The 17,827-nt window shown below is 41.7% G+C and overlaps 1 long non-coding RNA gene across 1 annotated transcript in view; it reads left to right on the top strand.

The window, feature by feature from the left end:
- TEX26-AS1 (TEX26 antisense RNA 1) overlaps nt 1–17,827 on the top strand; it is a 49,774-nt gene that overhangs the window by 26,631 nt on the left and 5,316 nt on the right. The gene's annotated exons all lie outside the window — the stretch shown is intronic.

Here is a 17,827-nt window from a genome sequence, read left to right as displayed (position 1 = left end):
CTTGCCTAAGACACCACACCCCTGGTGTTGATTGGAGAAGAAGGCAAGGGCTCTGGCCCTACCCATTCCACCTGGGACCCAGAGGCTGTCAAAGGCCAGTGCTGGAACTCCGATCCCCACCTCAGTACCAGACCTCTCACTCAGCCTCAGTTTTCTGCCATTTTAACTCCATCCAGATCGTACCCTGCATTTCCCTCCTTTCAGCCTTTCCTTCAGCTGGTTGCTGGCCCTGGATCCCTTCCCCCTAGAAATCCCACTGATCATCACATCGCTTTTCCATAAAGCCTTCACGAATCCCACGAGGGTTTCATCGCTTTGCTTCTCCTTTCTACTGCACGGTGAACCCTAGACTGCAATGTGCCGTGTAGTGGGGATAGCAGGGTCCTAGCATCCTCCCTTCTCCCCTGCCTCCCCAGTAGGTGGTGATCTCCTTGAGCCCCAGAATATGTTCATTTCTTCAGTCTATAAATATGTGAGTGCTAGCTATGGGCTCATTGATCTCCTGAGGTATGAAAGGAGAACTATATTATTCCATTTAATTAAACACCTATTTCTGCTGCGGAGAAGCCTGGATGGGATGGGAGGAGAATCTAGCCTAGTTTCGAGGCTTTCTGTAGTACTGTGTTTTAGGATTCTAAGCTACATCCCAAAAGTTGAGTAGAACGTAGAGAATATCCTTAGTTAGTCTTTGTGTGCCCCCACATGAACTCTTGTGTAGGTTTAATCAGATGGGATGAAGAGTCCTCCCGCCACATCTCATTTAAATCTCAGAATATAAATGAGCCCCACTCTCTTCTCTTCTTCTAGGTGCACACCTATCCTTTCTCCAGACATGGATCTTTTACCCATGGGATCATTACCCCATCTCTGGGCCTCTCTGAACAAATCTAATTCACTGAGCATGAATTGATCACTACCCACTCAACCTTTTGTGGCGCAGGAAGGATGCTCTACCTGTGAAAAAAGCATCCAGAAGATCTTCTTGCAAAGGGAGGTTTGAGGATCCCTGCAAAGAGAATGGGTCTGGGGTGGGCTGAGACTGTAGACAGGACTCAGAGGCTGGGGCTGTTTTCACAGGGGAGGGATTTGGTGCCAGCAGTTAAATCCATTGTGCCCTATTTAGAACTTCACTCTTGTCCCAAACATTGACAGAGTCATCACTATGCACCAGGGACCATCTTAAGCTCTGAGGTCACACACACACACACACAAGGATCCAATAAGTGCTACCATAGATGTATGGACTAAGCACTATGAGAAATAAGTGGTTCTGCCCCAAGAAGGGTGCTCAAAGGAGGTGACACATGGCTAGACTTCCAATACACAGGGGAGGCTCCCAGGGGAAGGAGCAGCAGCAATAAGGAGATGGGAGAGAAGATTCTGTACCATTCTATGCAAAGAGAGATGCTATGGTTCCATCTGGGGGAGGGGGGAAATTTTTAAACAGCTAGGGCAGACCATCCTATTTGGGATAAGAGGGGTCAGTTTTATATGAGATGAGACCAGAAAGGGCTGTTGGAGCCAGATTGTGACAGACCCTCTGAGTTGTCAGGAATTTGGATTCTTAAGACAATGAGGAGCCTTGGGATGTTTTAAAGAAAGGAAGTGATATAATTATGCCTCAGTTCAGATAGACACCTTTGGTTATGACCAAAGAAGATGTTTTGAAACAGGAAGATCAGAGGCAGAGAAACCAGTTAGGAGATTGATGTAATAATCCAGATAACATATGATGGGGGTCTGAACAGAAGCAGCTGTGGGAATGGAGATGAGGTTTCAACATTTTTGAGTCAGAGTCAGCAGGAAGGATCTTATGAGTAAATAAATGAAAAAGAGCAGAGAGACCCACTTAGTCTCTTGCTTGGGTACCCAGAGAGATGGTGACACCATTAACGAAGCTAGGGTTCACAGGAGGAAGAGTAGGAGTTTGAGGAGAGATAGTGATGAGTTCAGGGGGGACATACTGATTTTGAGCTACTTATGGAACATCAAGGTAGAAAAGTCCAGGAGGCAAGGAGTTAGTTGGGTCTGGCGTTTTGGAAAGACAAGGTCAATGATTGAGATTTGAAAGTCTCTAGATCAAAGACGGGGTTGAAGCCAAAGAAGTGGATGGGGGCATCTAGCTAATACATGATAGGGTAGGAATTTGAACCCAGGCCTTTAGTTTACTTCAACATATGTTAATTGAGCATCTGCTATGTTCAGTGCTTTGCTGGAGATACAGAGTTGAATAGAGGATGGCCCCTGTCCTCAAATAACAGGGAGAAATGCAGGAATCAGCATGAACTAGTCTTCTGGCACCATGTCCAAACATGTGGCTGAAATCTAGTTATATTTTGCCTGTGTCTCCAACCTGCTGGTGGAATACAACCTCAACAACAATAACAGCTGCAGAAGTTGCTTTCAATTAGTAAGTCAAGGAGGGCAGGTCCACTACAGAGCCCTCACCAGCCCCTACTCTCCCCATTCCACATAGATCGAACTCAACAACTCACCCTATGAGCTTCACATAGATCAAGCTCAACAACTCTTGATTGCCCTTAAACCTACACCACACTGTCTATGAATGATTTGGCTTTCTTGAAGGGTAAAATGTTACATCGGGGTTTTATATCAGAATTATATGCATTTGTTTAAGATAAACATACCAGTCCCTCCTATCAAAAAACCGTTTCCTGGGCAGGCACGGTGGCTCACACCTATAATTCCAGTATTCTGGGAGGCCAAGGCATGTGGATCGCCTGAGGTCAGGAGTTCCAGACCAGCCTGGCCAACATGGTGAAATCCCATCTCTACTAAAAATACAAAAATTAGCTGGGTATGGTGTTGAATGCCTGTAATCCTAGCTACTTGGGAGGCTGAGGCAGGAGAATCGCTTGAACCTGGGAGGCAGAGGTTGCAATGAGCCAAGATCGTGCCATTGCACTCCAGCCTGGGTGACAAGAGTCAAACTCCATCTCAAAAAAAAAAATCCGTTTCCTTCATAGTAAGATATCAACACTTAGATCTGAGTAGAAGAATTAAACGAAATTTTTCTTTACCTCACCACAGTTGTGTGATTTTACACTTTTCCTGTATTTTCCAAATAAATGTGTATTGTTTTATACAGAAAAATGATGTTGAGCATAATAAAAATATTTTAAAGATGCTTTCTTGGTATGTTGTCTAGAGGTTTCATTTGATGCGTTTTCAGCAAAACACCTGCATTTCTTTATGGGTAATTTATGCATTACCAAAATGCCAGAGAAAGATATGAAAAAGTGAACAGAAAAAAAATAGTATTCAATGTAATGTAAGCCATTGCTAATAAGTAGAGAGCTAGAGAGATCTTTTCATGTTTAATGTCTTTTTCATTACCCAAGTACCAGCCAGGCAAACAATCACTCCTGGTGACGACCTTTTCAGTCTTTTTTTGGTTTGCTTACATAGTTGTGTTCCTATCGTAGAATTTTTATTCGGCTTTGTGCATTTAACATTATATGTATATTATGTTGTGAAAATTTCATTTTCTTTGTGAATAGTATTTTAAATCACTATGCTATTTTCCATCAAGTGTATATTCTATTGTTTGTCTAGACATTTCTTTACTCTTGAACACTCAGATTGTTTCTTGTTTTTCCTTATAAACAATGCTGCAATAAACATCTTCATACTTTGATTTCGTTTTTCTGTATCCAAGCTCTCAGAGATGGAATTACTGGGACAAATGATATGAGAATGTGCATTGCTCTGGAAACGTGTGTCATTATTCTCCTAAAGGCTGGCACCAATTTGTCTTCTCACCAGCAGTGATTTTTCATGGTTTTAAATCTTTGCAGTTGGGGTAGGGTACCTCACAGCTATTTACGCTACAAGTGAGATTAACAGTTTAGCTATAATGTTACCACTCAAATTTAGAGACTTTATAGCAAGGCAATCACCCATTGGTGAGTCTGTGGCTATGCTCACAGGTAAAAGACAAGATAAAGATTTTGCCATCCTTATGTGTCCCCATTAAGGTAACTGTGCTATGGGGACATCAGCAGCTCACAGGCTCAGTTTCTCAGCTTTGGGGGTCCAAAGTTCATATTCAGAAATTTGATTCAACCTTACCAAATTCACAAAAGATTAAAAATCAATTAGGCACCACCACTGCCACCATTTTTGGATTTTTCTGTCAGCATACAAACATCTACAGGTTTCTTTTGTCTTAAAAAAAATAACTTTTTAAACATTTTAACATCTCACTTTCCCTTTTAGTACATTTCCATCTCTCTTCTTCACTCTATGGTCAAACTCCCTGAAAAAATTCTCTAAATTCCTTGCCTGACATTTACTCCTCAAGACTTTATACCTTGACTTCTGCCCATCACACCTCCTGAAACTGACCAAGTCTCCAATGACCTCCTTGTTACTAAACCTCATAAACACTTTCTGTTTTGATCTCACTAGACTACACTTGTCCCTGCAGTTCTCTCTTCCCTTAGCTTGTGAAGAACTTGCACAATGTAGTGAAAGGTGCAAAGGGTTTAGAGTTGAAAAATCTAACTCTAACATTTGCTAACCATGTCATCTTGAGCAAGTTTCCTAAACTCTCCTGTCGTTCATTTTCTCATTTTTAAAATTAGGGTAATAGAGGGAGAGGCAGGATAGCAACACCGTTAAGAGCTCAGACTTTGGTACCTTGTCACCTGGGTTGGAATCTTGAATCTAGCCTGCAGTCTTGAACACATTACTCCTATGTGTTTCAGTTTCCTCATATGTGAAGTGTGAGGTTTGTAAGGATTTGATGTGTTATGGCAAAGAATTGTCTGACACATAGTAAGTGCAATGTAAGTGTTTGTTTGATGCCTACATCAGGGGACTTCTGTAAGAGTACAATGAGTTGACCGCCCACTCACAGCATCTAGCTCAGTGCCCGGTTCTCGAGTAATAGTGTCAGCTCCCTGTCTTCTCCCACTCTTTCTCCCTCATTTCAGGCCACTCATTTTCCTGAACTGCAGAGTTCTGTCCTTGTCCACCTTTCCTGGATGACTTTGTCCAAATCTTTGGCTCTGATGACCACTTACAAGCTGATGATGTCTGAATCTCTAGCTCCAGGCCAGATTTCTTGTCAGGCTCTCTGACCAATCTACACAACTTCCTGCTAACCTCTCCACATGATTTCCCCCTGGCACCTGCAACTCATCGTCTTCCTCCTGCCCAATGTGCTGTTTCTCCTGTGTTTCTCATCCCAGGGAGGCATCACTATCCCTCCATCCAGCGCTGTGAGGGCATCCTAGACTGCACCCTCTCACTTCCTCCCTCCACCCCTACGCTCTTCTGCTGTTCCTCCACCCCAGTCCTCCTAGCCAACTGGGTGCCTCCACCCACTGACTCTGCCTTCTACAAATCTCAGGAATCTCTTGGTTCCTTCCCACCCCCACTGCCATTGATTTTGCTTAGCTTTCTGCCACTTTTTCTCAGTACTATCTCAGTAGCCTTCATACCAGTCTCCTCTCTCCCAATCCCTCCTACCCACGTCCCCCTAGCAATTCATATACTGAAGTCCTAACACCCAGCACCATAGGATGTGACTGTATTTGGAGATAGTTTAGAAAATTCACTCAGGTCAAATGAGGTCATAAGGGTGGGACTTCAATCCCATAGGACTGGCACCCATATAAGAAGAGAACAGCTCCAGAGTTTGTGGGCATACAGAGGAAAGACCACATGAGGATACAGCAGGTGGCAGCCATCTACAAACCAGGGAGAGAGCCCTCATCGGAAACTGAACTTGCATCTTGCTCTGGTTTGAATGTGTCAAACCAATTCAAAGCAAAGTCCGTGGATTGGAGACTTAATCCCCAAGGCAACAGTGTTGGGAAGTGAGGTCTAATAAGAGGTGATTAGGTCCTGAGGGCACTGCCTCATGCAGGGATTAATGTCATTATCTCAGGAGCCGGTTTGTTATGGACAGTGGGTTATAAAAGTGAGTCTGGTTCTCTCTGATCCTTTCACCTTTTGCCACAGGAGGACACAGCAAGAAGCCTCTCCCAGATGCTGGCACCTTGATCTTGGACTTCTCAGCCTCTGGAACTGTGAGGCAAATACATTTCTGTTCTTTATAAGTTACCCAGTTGGTGGTATTCTGTTATCACAGCATAAACAGACTAAGACACAAAGTTGGTGGCACTTTGTGATGGCTGCCCAAGCTGTCTAAGCCCCTTCCTCATGCTCAGATACACAGCCTTTGCTTAAGGCTGTGGAAGATGGCTTGCAGCTCCCTGAGGGTGCAGCTGGCTTTCCCTTGATGCTGTGGACAAGCTGTTCCTGCCACACAGCTTCCTACTGTCTTCACAGCCCCTCACTCATCTTTTAAGACCCAGTTTCAACATCACCTACTCAAGGCTAATTTTGGTGTCCTTCCTCCTTGTCCCATAGGACAAATGATACATATTGTGTGTCCCCTTACCACATCCTGTACTATAAGTGTTGTGTTATTGATTTACTTGTCTGTCTCACCCTCTAAGCCCAAGAGAAAAGAAAACAGCATCTTATGCCTTTTTATTCCTGGTACAATGTGGTTTCACAGAAGATATCATATTTATTTTTATTGAATGAATGAATAAATGAATGGAAAGCAGCATTGAGTCATGGTTATATATAAAGTTCTGAGAACAGTGCCTGGCATAAATAAGCACTATTGAGTGTTTGTTAAATAAATGAACAAAATATATCTGAACATGTCTCAGATCATTTCTTCTGCAATTGTAACTGTAAAAAGTCTTGTGAAAGCTAAAGTAGGAACATATGGGAAAATAAAAGCCCAGATTTGCAGAGATCCACTCATGCAAATACGTTCAAATTCGAAGTTATTGCATTGATTCCTGACAACTTTAGTCATGGCTAAACTAGAATGGAAAATTTTACTTCCTTCCCTCTGCTTACCTCATTGGGCTCTGCCTGTGTTATTCTCTGAGTTCACTGCTTCCTGTCTTCCCAAACAAACACTCACTTCTGGTGGCAGAGTTCACACAGAAGCTTTCCCAGGCCAGTCAGTTGATCCTGGTTACGTATGTGCTTTTGCACTTTGGTTAAACCTCTTTAATTGCTGGTAGGGTGCTCAGTGCTGTGGGGCACTGGGGCAAATGTAGGTTAGGACATTGCAGCAGCTGGGACCATCCGGTACATGGAGCGTCTGGAGGAGGCGCAAGTGACTTTGGAGAAGAGTGAGTCTGTTAATGTGAACCACGTGTGGGAACCAGGGTACCACTCAATTCTACAAACACTGATGGAATGCTGGCATGGGCTAGGAGTGTGGGACTCCAAGATGCCTAAGACCTGTTCCCTGTCTCCAGGGGCCTCAAGTCAAGCCAGCTACTAGTGGTCAATAAGTGTTGGAGGAGGAGATGGAGGACCTAGGAGGCGGACACGAGCACAGCCAGTTATGTAGGAGAAAGTAAGGATGGAGGGTCTCTAAGCCTAAGAACAGGAGTGTTGGTTAGGTACAGGACACAACTGAGGGCTCATCTAGAACTTTTAATGGGGTTGGATGCAGTTGAAATCACATTTGAGAGGGTATGTTGCAAAGACTTTAAAATTTTCTGTATGCTGTGATGTTTTGGCATTTTAAAAAACCTTTCTGGTTGGTGAGAGATGGCCCCTCCTGGATCTGGCCAATTCTTAGAGAAAGGACTCAGACTGAAGCATGTCTTTGATATGCAAACTAACCAGTGCAGTGCCAGACCTCCTGTATCTGGCCAGTGCATCCCAGGAGGCAGTATTCCTCTGCCTACATCATCCCAGGACCAGGTGCCAGCAACAGAGACCCCTCTTTGTAGCCAAAAGCCTGCCAGAATTATTCAATCTAGCCCATCCAAAACCATTCACCCTGCCCTGCCTTGCCTTTCCCCAGAAACCCCAACAAAGGTTATGGCTTAAATCTCCCCCTCATCCTATCTTCTGCGAGCTCCACCCTGGTGTCTTTCTCATATGGACCAACACAGTGTGTGTGCCCCTTGTCCCTAGGACCTGTGAGTATAATCGGCTTCTTTTTTCCCTGAGCCTCTCCTGCATCTCCTCTTGTGGTTGCACCTGACTATCTTATAAGAGACTAAAAAACCGAGGGATGGCTCTTAGTAACGGTGTCTACAGATAAGATTGGCTTTAGAAAGGGGGTTTCACTAGAAGACCCATCCAACTCTAAAGATTCACACCCTAAAATGGGCAGATTCGGAAAGTCAAGGGGTGAACCCAGGGAATCCCGTAGTATTGTCAAAATTATTGCTGCTCCTGGAACAAAGGGCCAAATTGTTCCTTGGATTTCATGTCTTTCTCCACCCCACTGACAAACAGCATCAACCACAACAACCATAATGAGAATGGCTGACATTTAGTGAAGATTTCCCCATGTCAGACACTGTTCTAAGTGCCTTCAATGGATGATTTTATCTACTCCTCCAAACTATGAACTATTTATATTCCCATTTTATAGAAGGGGAAAAAGAGGCACACGGAGTGCCAGTGACTTGTAACTTGCCCAGCCATACAGCTGATGCAGTGAAGAAGCACTTTTTATAAACCCCTTCCTACCCAAGGCAGCTGAGCTGACAAGATGGAAAAGATGAAAAGCTTCACTCTTCACATCTCTCTGGACTATAGAACAGGAGTGGGAAAAGTATGGTCCACCAGCCAAGTCCAGCCTGCTGCCTATTTTTGTATGACCATGATTAAGAATGTTTTTTCATTTGTATAGAGATTGCACTGAATCTGTAGCTCATTTTGGGTAGTATTGTTAAATAGTTGAAAAAAAACAAAAGAAGAGTAATAATTTTGTGACATGCAAAAATAATACAAAGTAAGCTCACATTTCAAAGTCTTTAAATAAAGTTTTATTGAAACACAGCCACATCCATTTGTTTACATATGGCTGCTTCCATGCTACATAAGCAGAGCTAAGCAGTTGCAACAGAGACTCTCTGGTCCTTAAAGCCTAAAATGTTTACTGCTTACCCTTTTCCAAAGAAGGTTTGCCACTCCCCGCTCTAGAGACCAAACTGGAATTTAGAGTAAGTTATTCTGTCTTCTCTAGGCAACCCTCAGCACCCTTCTCTGTCTCCAGAACTTAAAGTATTCCCCCTCCACATTTAAAAGAATCCGGACCAAAAGAGAATAAAGCCACCCAAAACCCAGACTCCTCATCCCTCAAGTCCTTGTCTTAAAGCTTTAAAAGGAACTTTACACAGTGGCCTTTTTTCTGTTGTTCACATCCTTTGGCATGTTGGTGGGGGCTGTGTTCATGCATTCATTCACCCAGTCATTCATTCATTCCATAAACGTTGATTGAGCCCCTTTGTCCCGGTGCTTTCCAGGGTGGATGAGGGAATAGGAAGTGGGCACTCACTCTCCACAAAGTCAGTATTTACCTCTGGTCTTAGACCCGAACTGCATGGTCAGGCACACACTTCGAACTTGGACAGACCTGAGTTAAGATCCCAGCACTTCCACTTCGGAGGTCTGTGACTCCATGGCAGCCAGGAAACCACTGGGCCCTGCAAAAAGGGGGGATACCCTTAACTCCTTCCCATGTATGCTAGGAGCGGTCAATAAAAAGAATGTGCGGAAAGCACTTTGCACAAGGCAGAGCACAGGGCCAGCCCCCAGAAAATTGTGACCATCATTATGACCGTCACCACCACCAAGGTCCTGAAGAGTCTAAACACGTCCACCTCAGAGTCGATCAAGTTGACAGAGATTTCAGAAATCTGTGTTCTCTTTTAAAAACTTCTATTTATTTAATACCAGGAAACACTGTACTATTTCTAGTCCCCTAGGTATTTGTCACAATCATAAAAGCCAAAACTTTTTGAGTCACAAAAAAAAAAAAAAATAGAGAGAGAATTTTCCTCACATTAAAATCCCCTGTGATTTGGGAAAAAACAAAACAAACAAACAAAAAAAAAAACACTGAGCAGAAATAACAAGAAACCTGGCAATGCCTGGCTGACAACAGCCAGAGGGAGAGGCCCCCTCACATGAGCGGCCTGAATTCCCGGCCTGCATGTCAGGTCTTTGGAATGCTGGGCCTAACGCAATAGTTCCTTTACTAAAAAAAATTGACAGGCATAGAATGTTCAGAAAGAAATAAAATGAAAACGAAAAAGCAAACCCCCCACACACATTTTGTGTCTTTGTGAGGCTTCACAATCAAGGGCTTAGCAGAGAGATGGAGTGGGGAAAGCTAGGCCAGCCCTCCCTTAATCCTATTTTGGCCTGTAAGTTACCGGGACAAGGGAAGAAATCCATGTTTTCTAAACTTTGTAGTTCAAAAACTAAACAAAACAAAAACACTTGTTTTGCTTCACCACTAAGTGATTTGTAAGTGCAGAAAAATCAGAAAGTATTGATTTAATTTTTTCAAATAATAAACAGAAGTCCCCTCTATCATCCCACCACCCAGAGGTAAGCACTGAATGCCAGTTACTGTGCGTCCCCCAAGCCTTTGTCTATCTGTTTAGAGCAGAGGGCATAGAGCTCCCTATGTCACCCAGGGCAGCTGGGTTGGTGCTTAGGACGGAAGACTTAGGGGCCTCAATATCTGGATTCGAATCCTGGCTTTGCCATTCATTAGCTGTGTGACTTTAGGCAAGTGCTTCCCTCTTTCCGCCTCAGTTTCCTCATTTGTGAAATGGAGTTTATTACAGCACTCACTTCTTGGGGTTGTAGGGAGGATTAAATGAATTGTTATATGTAAAGCACTGAGAACCAAGACTGGCACTGTCTCTCTCTCTCCATATATATACACACATATGCATGCACACATAGAAATATATATAATTTGTATGTACACTATGACATATATTTATATATGTGTGTATTTACTAATATGTGTGCATTTTTCCTGAATAAAATTACATCAAACTATTCATGGTACTGTATTTGGTAGCCTTTCTTTTTATGGCTTAATTATGACATCTATGACCCCATATTACCAATAATTTAAGTTGTTTCTCATTTTTCATGATTAAAATAAAAATACCGCCATTTACATTTTTGCACTTGTATCTTTGGCAACTTGTCCAATTACTGGCTGATAATTCACCCCTAACCTGGATCAGATATTATGCTCTTTTTCAAGGATTTTGATACATAATGTCAAACTGATCTCCAAACTAAAATTCCCAAAACCATAGCAGGAAGTTACCTATTTCCCAAAGTCCTAGCCAAAACTGTGTATTATTATTCTATTTTATTTTTCCCCACCACGTTGGAGAATTTTATTGTTTTAATTTTTTTAATTTGTTACCAGGAAGGTTAAAACTTTTTATGTTTATTGGCCATTTTTATTTTTTCTGCTGTGAATTTGCAATTTAGATCCATTGTTAACATATGGAGACATCTTTTCCTTATTTGTTTGCAAGAACTCTTTATATATTAAACATGTTACCTTTTAAAATTTTTATCATTTGCCTTTCTGCTTGATAAATTCCAAAATATATCAGAATATATTTTTTACCATTCAGAAATTTTGAATCTGTGTGTATGTGTGTGTGTGTGTTTTAAGCCCTTGAGTCTAGCAATATTTTTCACTATGACTTTGTCCTGAGATCCCCAGTTATAAAGTTTTTCTCTATTTTCCCCCAAATCATAACAATATTTTTAAAAATTTTCTTCCAATGCATTTATAATTTGATTTTTTAAGATTGAACTTATCTCAAAATTAACTTGCAACTAAAAAGCTGATATGTGTGGTTTCTTCTCTAGACTCAGTGATTCTATAAATTTATCAGTATCCAAGACTGTAATAGATAGATTAAACAAAATTTTGTCTATTTCTTTTTTTTTTTTTTTTTGAAACAGAGTCTTGCTCTGTTGCCCAGGCTGGAGTGCAGTGGTGCGATCTCAGCTCACTGCAAGCTCCGCCTACTGGGTTCAGGTCATTCTCCTGCCTCAGCCTCCCAAGTAGCTGGGATTACAGGCGCCTGCCACCACGCCCGGCTAATTTTTTATATTTTTAGTACAGACGGGGTTTCACCGTGTTAGCCACGATGGTCTCGATCTCCTGACCTCGTGATCCGCCCGCCTTGGCCTCCCAAAGTGCTGGGATTACAGGCGTGAGCCACCGCACCCGGCCCCAAAAATTTGTCTATTTCTTTGAATACCAATGTTCTCCTCTAAAAAGCAAAAACAGTGAAATCTCCTCTGCTTGTAATATTGTGAATAAACATGTTTCGAAAAGTGTCAAATGCTATAGCAGTATAACAATTATGACTAAATTCAGCTTCAGGATGAGAAAGAAGTGAGACACAGGAATGAAACATTTGAGTTCTCCCAAGAAGGGAGAATACTCGGCAATAAGTTTCCTTGATTTGAACTGATGAACTCACTAAGTCACACACTTGGGAGCCATTGGGGGTGGTGTAGGATAAAGGTATTTTCTGAGCATGTCAGTGATACTTTATACATATCACAGATTTGACTTAATACTGCCAAAAAAAAAGACCCACCAAGATTCAAGTTTAATAACTTAAAAAGTAAGAAGAGGTTAATTATCAGGTATTTTATATGAAAAAAATGCATTCCTTAAGTTGTTTTGATTCTCCATAAACCTCAGGCCAAATTTTTTAGATTTATGTAAAACTACCACCTCTATTGCACAGTACTTGCAAGCCTTCTCCCTTTTTTTTTTCTCTAATCAGAGTAGTGAGGATGAGATAGGTTCAGAAGCAGCAAGCCAGGCCACCCCACTCTTGTTCCAACATTCTGGGCTCTGCTCAGAGCCGCCTCCACCCACACCAGAGCCTTGCACAGGAATTCAGTGTGCTGTCACTTGGCGGCCTTTGCCGGAGTGGCCAGAGGGGGCGCTGGCGAGAGCTAACAGCCTCCCACCCTTGTGCTTCTTCCATTGGCCCTGGACGTGAATAAATCATGCCACTGACAACTGATGGGACTCAACTTCAAAGATGAGAGAAATTACCCAAGGGGAAACAACACCAAGTTTATGAGTGAAGAGTTAAGGAGCTGTTCTTAACATTTCTGAAAGGATACCAAGAACCTACTGAATAATCCACAGTCATTCATCTTTTTTATAGTTAGTTTGCTCAGGGTCCTGAAGGACATTATCAGAAACGTGAGACATTTGGAACAGTATTCAAGTATGTGAACTAAAGCTTCCCTCATTTTCTCAGATGAAAGCTAGTAAATGTAGCAATGAGAGATACAAGAGAGCAATGTCCCACCCTCATTAGCTCATTATGGGGCTATGATTGAATTTGAGGAAAAAATCTTGATTCTACAAAATGTGCCCTTCATTTTCTTTTTTCTTTCTGTGCTATTGAACACTTTGAAGATATACCCTTTTTTTCTTCTAAGAAAAGCAAAAAAAAAATAAGTGTGACAACACTTTTTTTCATGACTCTAAGTTTGTCCTACTTATATAAAAAGTACAGAATAACAGCTATCATTTCCTATATGCCTGGACCTATTAAGGTAAATACTATCCATTTTCTAGATAAGAAAAATGACTCTCAGAGAGAGCAGGTTACTTGCCTAAATTGTTGGAGTTAGGATTTGAACCCTGCTCTGTCTCACTCAAAAGCTTTTGCTCTTTCCAGTACTCAAGGATGAAAAGAGGAAATGGAACCTTGCTGAGTTTTTTAAATCCTGAAACAATTTTCATCCATCAATTCTTGGAATCTAATTCTTTGAGGTTTCTATTAGATCTAAAGAGCTAAATTTCTTGGTTGTGTCTTCTTTCATTCCATCCCTGGGGAACTACAATTCAGGCTCTTTCTCTGACTGCTTGGTTAGCTGGTCCCTCATTCCCACAGGGTGATCCTCCTTCTACTTTCTTGTTACTTTGCAATCTGATAGAATCTCAAATCTATATATTGCCTCACTCATGAAGTATGGATTTTTGATCTACTATAATACATGCTAAAATAGTAAAATTCAACTCCTAATGGTCCCCAAAAGATTTGAATGAAAGGACATTCTAACATACAGCCAGAGAGAGACTTAGACATTGAGAAGAATATAATTCAATATTTGTGAGGTATTCAGATGGTACTGAGTACTTATCACAACATGAAACAATTGGCATGACTTTCTACCTCAGAGGTCCCCATTCTCAAGGCAAATACGGCAGAAACTGTGGATATATGCAATAGAAAAGGGATTTGAAACAGCCAGGTGCAGTGACTTATGCCTGTAATCCCAGCACTTTGGGAGGCCGAGGCAGGTGGATCACCTGAGGTCCAGGAGTTCAAGACCAGCCTGGCCAACATGGTGAAACCCCGTCTCTACTAAAAATACAAAAATTAGCCAGGTGTGGTGGCCGGCGCCTGTAATCCCAGCTACTCAGGAAGCTGAGGCAGGAGAATCGCTTGAACCCGGGAGGCAGAGGTTGCAGTGAGCCAAGATTGCGCCACTGTTCTCCAGCCTGGGTGACAAGAGTGAGACTCCATCTTAAAAAAAAAAAAAAAAAAGAGAGAGAGAGATTTGAAAAACAAGGACCCTCCCTAACAAGTCATGGCAGGACTTGACATGTAAATACTATAATCGTTTAACTCTGTGAAACTTTAAAAGAGTATCAGAACATTAGAAATATCAATTTTCTTTGTCTTTTTCACTAGACATACTGGCACAACTGAGCCTCATACCTCTACATAGGCATTTGGTAAATATTTGTTGGAAAAAATGAATGATCAATTACAGCTAAGCCCATTATTCTTTTTACTATTACAGCTCTATTATTTGATTTATTTATTTGTTCAACAAATTTTTATTACATTGAATTGGCAAACACCATAAAAGATGCTGAGAATACAACTTTAAAATGAATACATTCTTCCTGTCCTCATATAACTTTCCTCTTCTACTTAACCATCTGTTTAACCTAGGGCAATGCTTTCACAGTCCCTTTCTTCATATAAAACAAGAGGAGTAACAGCTTTTCTAAATACCTCTATGGAGTTGTTGTGACAATGAAGTAAGATAATACAATTTCTAAACTGTGAAGTTGTATACTAATATGTCATCTACAAATTATACAAGTTAGAATGCAACCAACAAACAGCTTCATTCAAAATAGCTTAAACAATTGAGGGAATTTGTTGGCTCAAGCAACTGAAAATGCCAGATGTAATATTGGCTCCAGATAAGGCTTGATCCAGGAGCTCAACAATGTCACCAAGAACCTTATTTGTTCCTAGCTCTTCACATTGCCCTTTTTGGGGCCAAATTCTAAGGCTGACTCTCTTTGAGATCCCCTATGGCTTCCAGGAGCTCTTAGGGCTGTTGCTTCCTCATTCTAATCCAGAAGGGAAGCAAGGAAGCAGGAGAGCATTCCTGCCTAATGTTTCCAAGGAAAATCTGAAAATTCATTCTGATTGGACCCCCCTTAAGACACATGCCCCCTCTGCAGCCAATATCTGTGTTCCAAGAAATGGAAGGCACGGATTGGCTTAGCTTAGACCTCATGCCTCACTCCCGTCAATAAAGTCAGCTTCCCTGGAATCTCATGGATCCCCCCCAGTGGAAGGTGGTAGGCTGCTTAGAAAAGAACACAGATAAGAGAATAGATGATGAATATGTGACAAACCAACAAACTGCTTGATTTGCTGGAGTTGAAGCAAAAGTCAACCAAATAATACTGCCTAAAATCCATTTTATGATCACAGGTAACTAAGGACAACTAAATATTTGGAAAAAATGGAGGCTTGAGTAGACTTTCTATGGTGTATATGGAAATTATGTATGTAAATAGGACTCTGAAATGTAAGATAATTAACAAAATAATTGACATAATTCACTATTCTACTCCAGATAGTGACCACATAGTTTAAATAAATTTTTGACACATTAAAATTTTGCCTGTCCAATAACAGATACTTTCAAGCATTAAAAAAAAAAAAAAATTTCTGTTTAAATCTCTTACTCAAATCACTAGTCTGGTATGATGATTTCTTATTTCTCTAAATAAATAAAATGTCTTCTACCTCTGAATAAGTTACCTGAATAATGTTGGGTCATACATAGGCCAGCCTTAGACAGGAATACAACCAAGACAGAAGAAAGTCTAAATCCTTAAAAGTTTTGAGGTGATATAAATCACTGAAGTTATCTCAACGGCCCCGAGGAAGGCCTTACACAGAGGAACATACAGCAAAACATCAACAATCTTTGCACTCAACCATCCCCCACCATGTGCATGAGACAAATGGGTTTGTTACCTCATATCCACAGCTGGAGAGTTCCATATAAAGTAATTTAAAAACGCCTCTTACGTAGGTGGAACTCATACCCAGTATATTCACTACATATTGAAAGATTATGGTTTGGGGTCGTATGAAGATCCACCTTACTAAGTCATCGGAGAGCACTTGAGGAAGTAGAGACAGCAATGGCATGATAATTTATGGAGCTCAAAGAATGTTAGTTCTGTTAAAAGAAAAACTTTATAGAAAGTAAATTCAACAGAATTGACTTGAACAAAATGTGATTCATGAATCAGGCAGCACTCAGAAGCACAAGAGGTTCATAGAACTCCAAGTTAGGAGCATGAGCTGTGGCTTTTATAGGCTGAATGCAGAGGTAAAGTGCAGACATAACTTGATTGGTTATGGCTAGGAATTTGCCTTATTTGGACATGGTCTGATCAGCTGACCACCTGTGAATGGCTGAAGCTTGGCTGCTTGTGATTGGCTGAGACTGGCTGTTACAAAAAAATACACTCCTGAGTTAGGTTCTCGTTTGTTTATATACCAAGTTAAGTTGCAGTTCATTGTGTAGGAACTCAAAGTACCTGCACAGCCTCAAGCCAATGGCCTCCTACTTATTACAGTTCTTTGCAAGTGAACTGTCAGACCAAAAAATGGAAATTTCAAGGAAAGTCCTAAAAGGGTCCCAAGTTTCTAAATTTAAAAAAGTAGTCTGTCACTATTGGAGGGATCAGACAACCAGGATCCTGGTGCCAACTATCAAATCGATTGTGATGCTGACATGAAGCCACAATAATAACATGGGTGGGTGGTTTTCATGCCAGGCTCCACAGAGCCTTGGGTGTTCCTTGCAGTCTCCTCACAGGCCATTGCGAGGGAGAAGGGAAGCAGACCTCTGGGGCCTCCACCTCTGCTTCAACTAAAGTGCTGCACTGTATCTCTTACATCTCAAACTTCTAAGATTTTATTTGAAGATTTCCGTTTTCAAAATGGTGGCCCAAACACATACTGCTGCCTTCCCTTCAGCACTAGGTTTTCAGACACAATAGAAAAAATATGTAACAGGCCGGGCGTGGTGGCTCACGCCTGTAATCCAAGCACTTTGGGGTGGTCGAGATGAGGGGATCATTTGAGGTTAGGAGTTGGAGACCAGCCTGGCTAACATGGTGAAACCCCATCACTACTGAAAATACAGAAGTTAGCCAGCCATGTTGGCACTCATCTGTAATCCCAGCTACTGGAGAGGCTGAGACAGGAGAATCGCTGAACCCAGGAGACAGAGGTTGCTGTGAGCCGAGACTGCACCACTGTACTCCAGCCTGGGCAACAGAGTGAGTCAAAAAATAATAATAATAATAATAATAAATTTTAAAAAGTAACAATACTCAGAAAACTAGAAGGGAGACTTTTAGAGAAGGGGGTTTTCAGAAACTGAAAATCCCTAAAAGACCAAAAGGATCAGAGGAAGAAAAAAAAATAGTCAAAGGTGTGTGCAAGAGAGTCCTGCTGCAGAAGGGACAGGTGCCACCAAACATTTGTCCCACCTGGTGGTTGGAATCGAGGACCTGGGTGGCTGAGGTACAAGAGGCAGCGTGCTTATTTGGGAAGGGAAGAACAGAGTCACCCTGGTAGACTCATTCCCCCTG

Source organism: Homo sapiens, chromosome 13 (genome assembly GCF_000001405.40).
Source record: "Homo sapiens chromosome 13, GRCh38.p14 Primary Assembly".
Taxonomy (NCBI): Eukaryota; Metazoa; Chordata; class Mammalia; order Primates; family Hominidae; genus Homo; species Homo sapiens.
The sequence above is the reverse complement of the archived record's forward strand: the minus strand, read 5'-3'. Positions and strand labels throughout refer to the sequence as shown.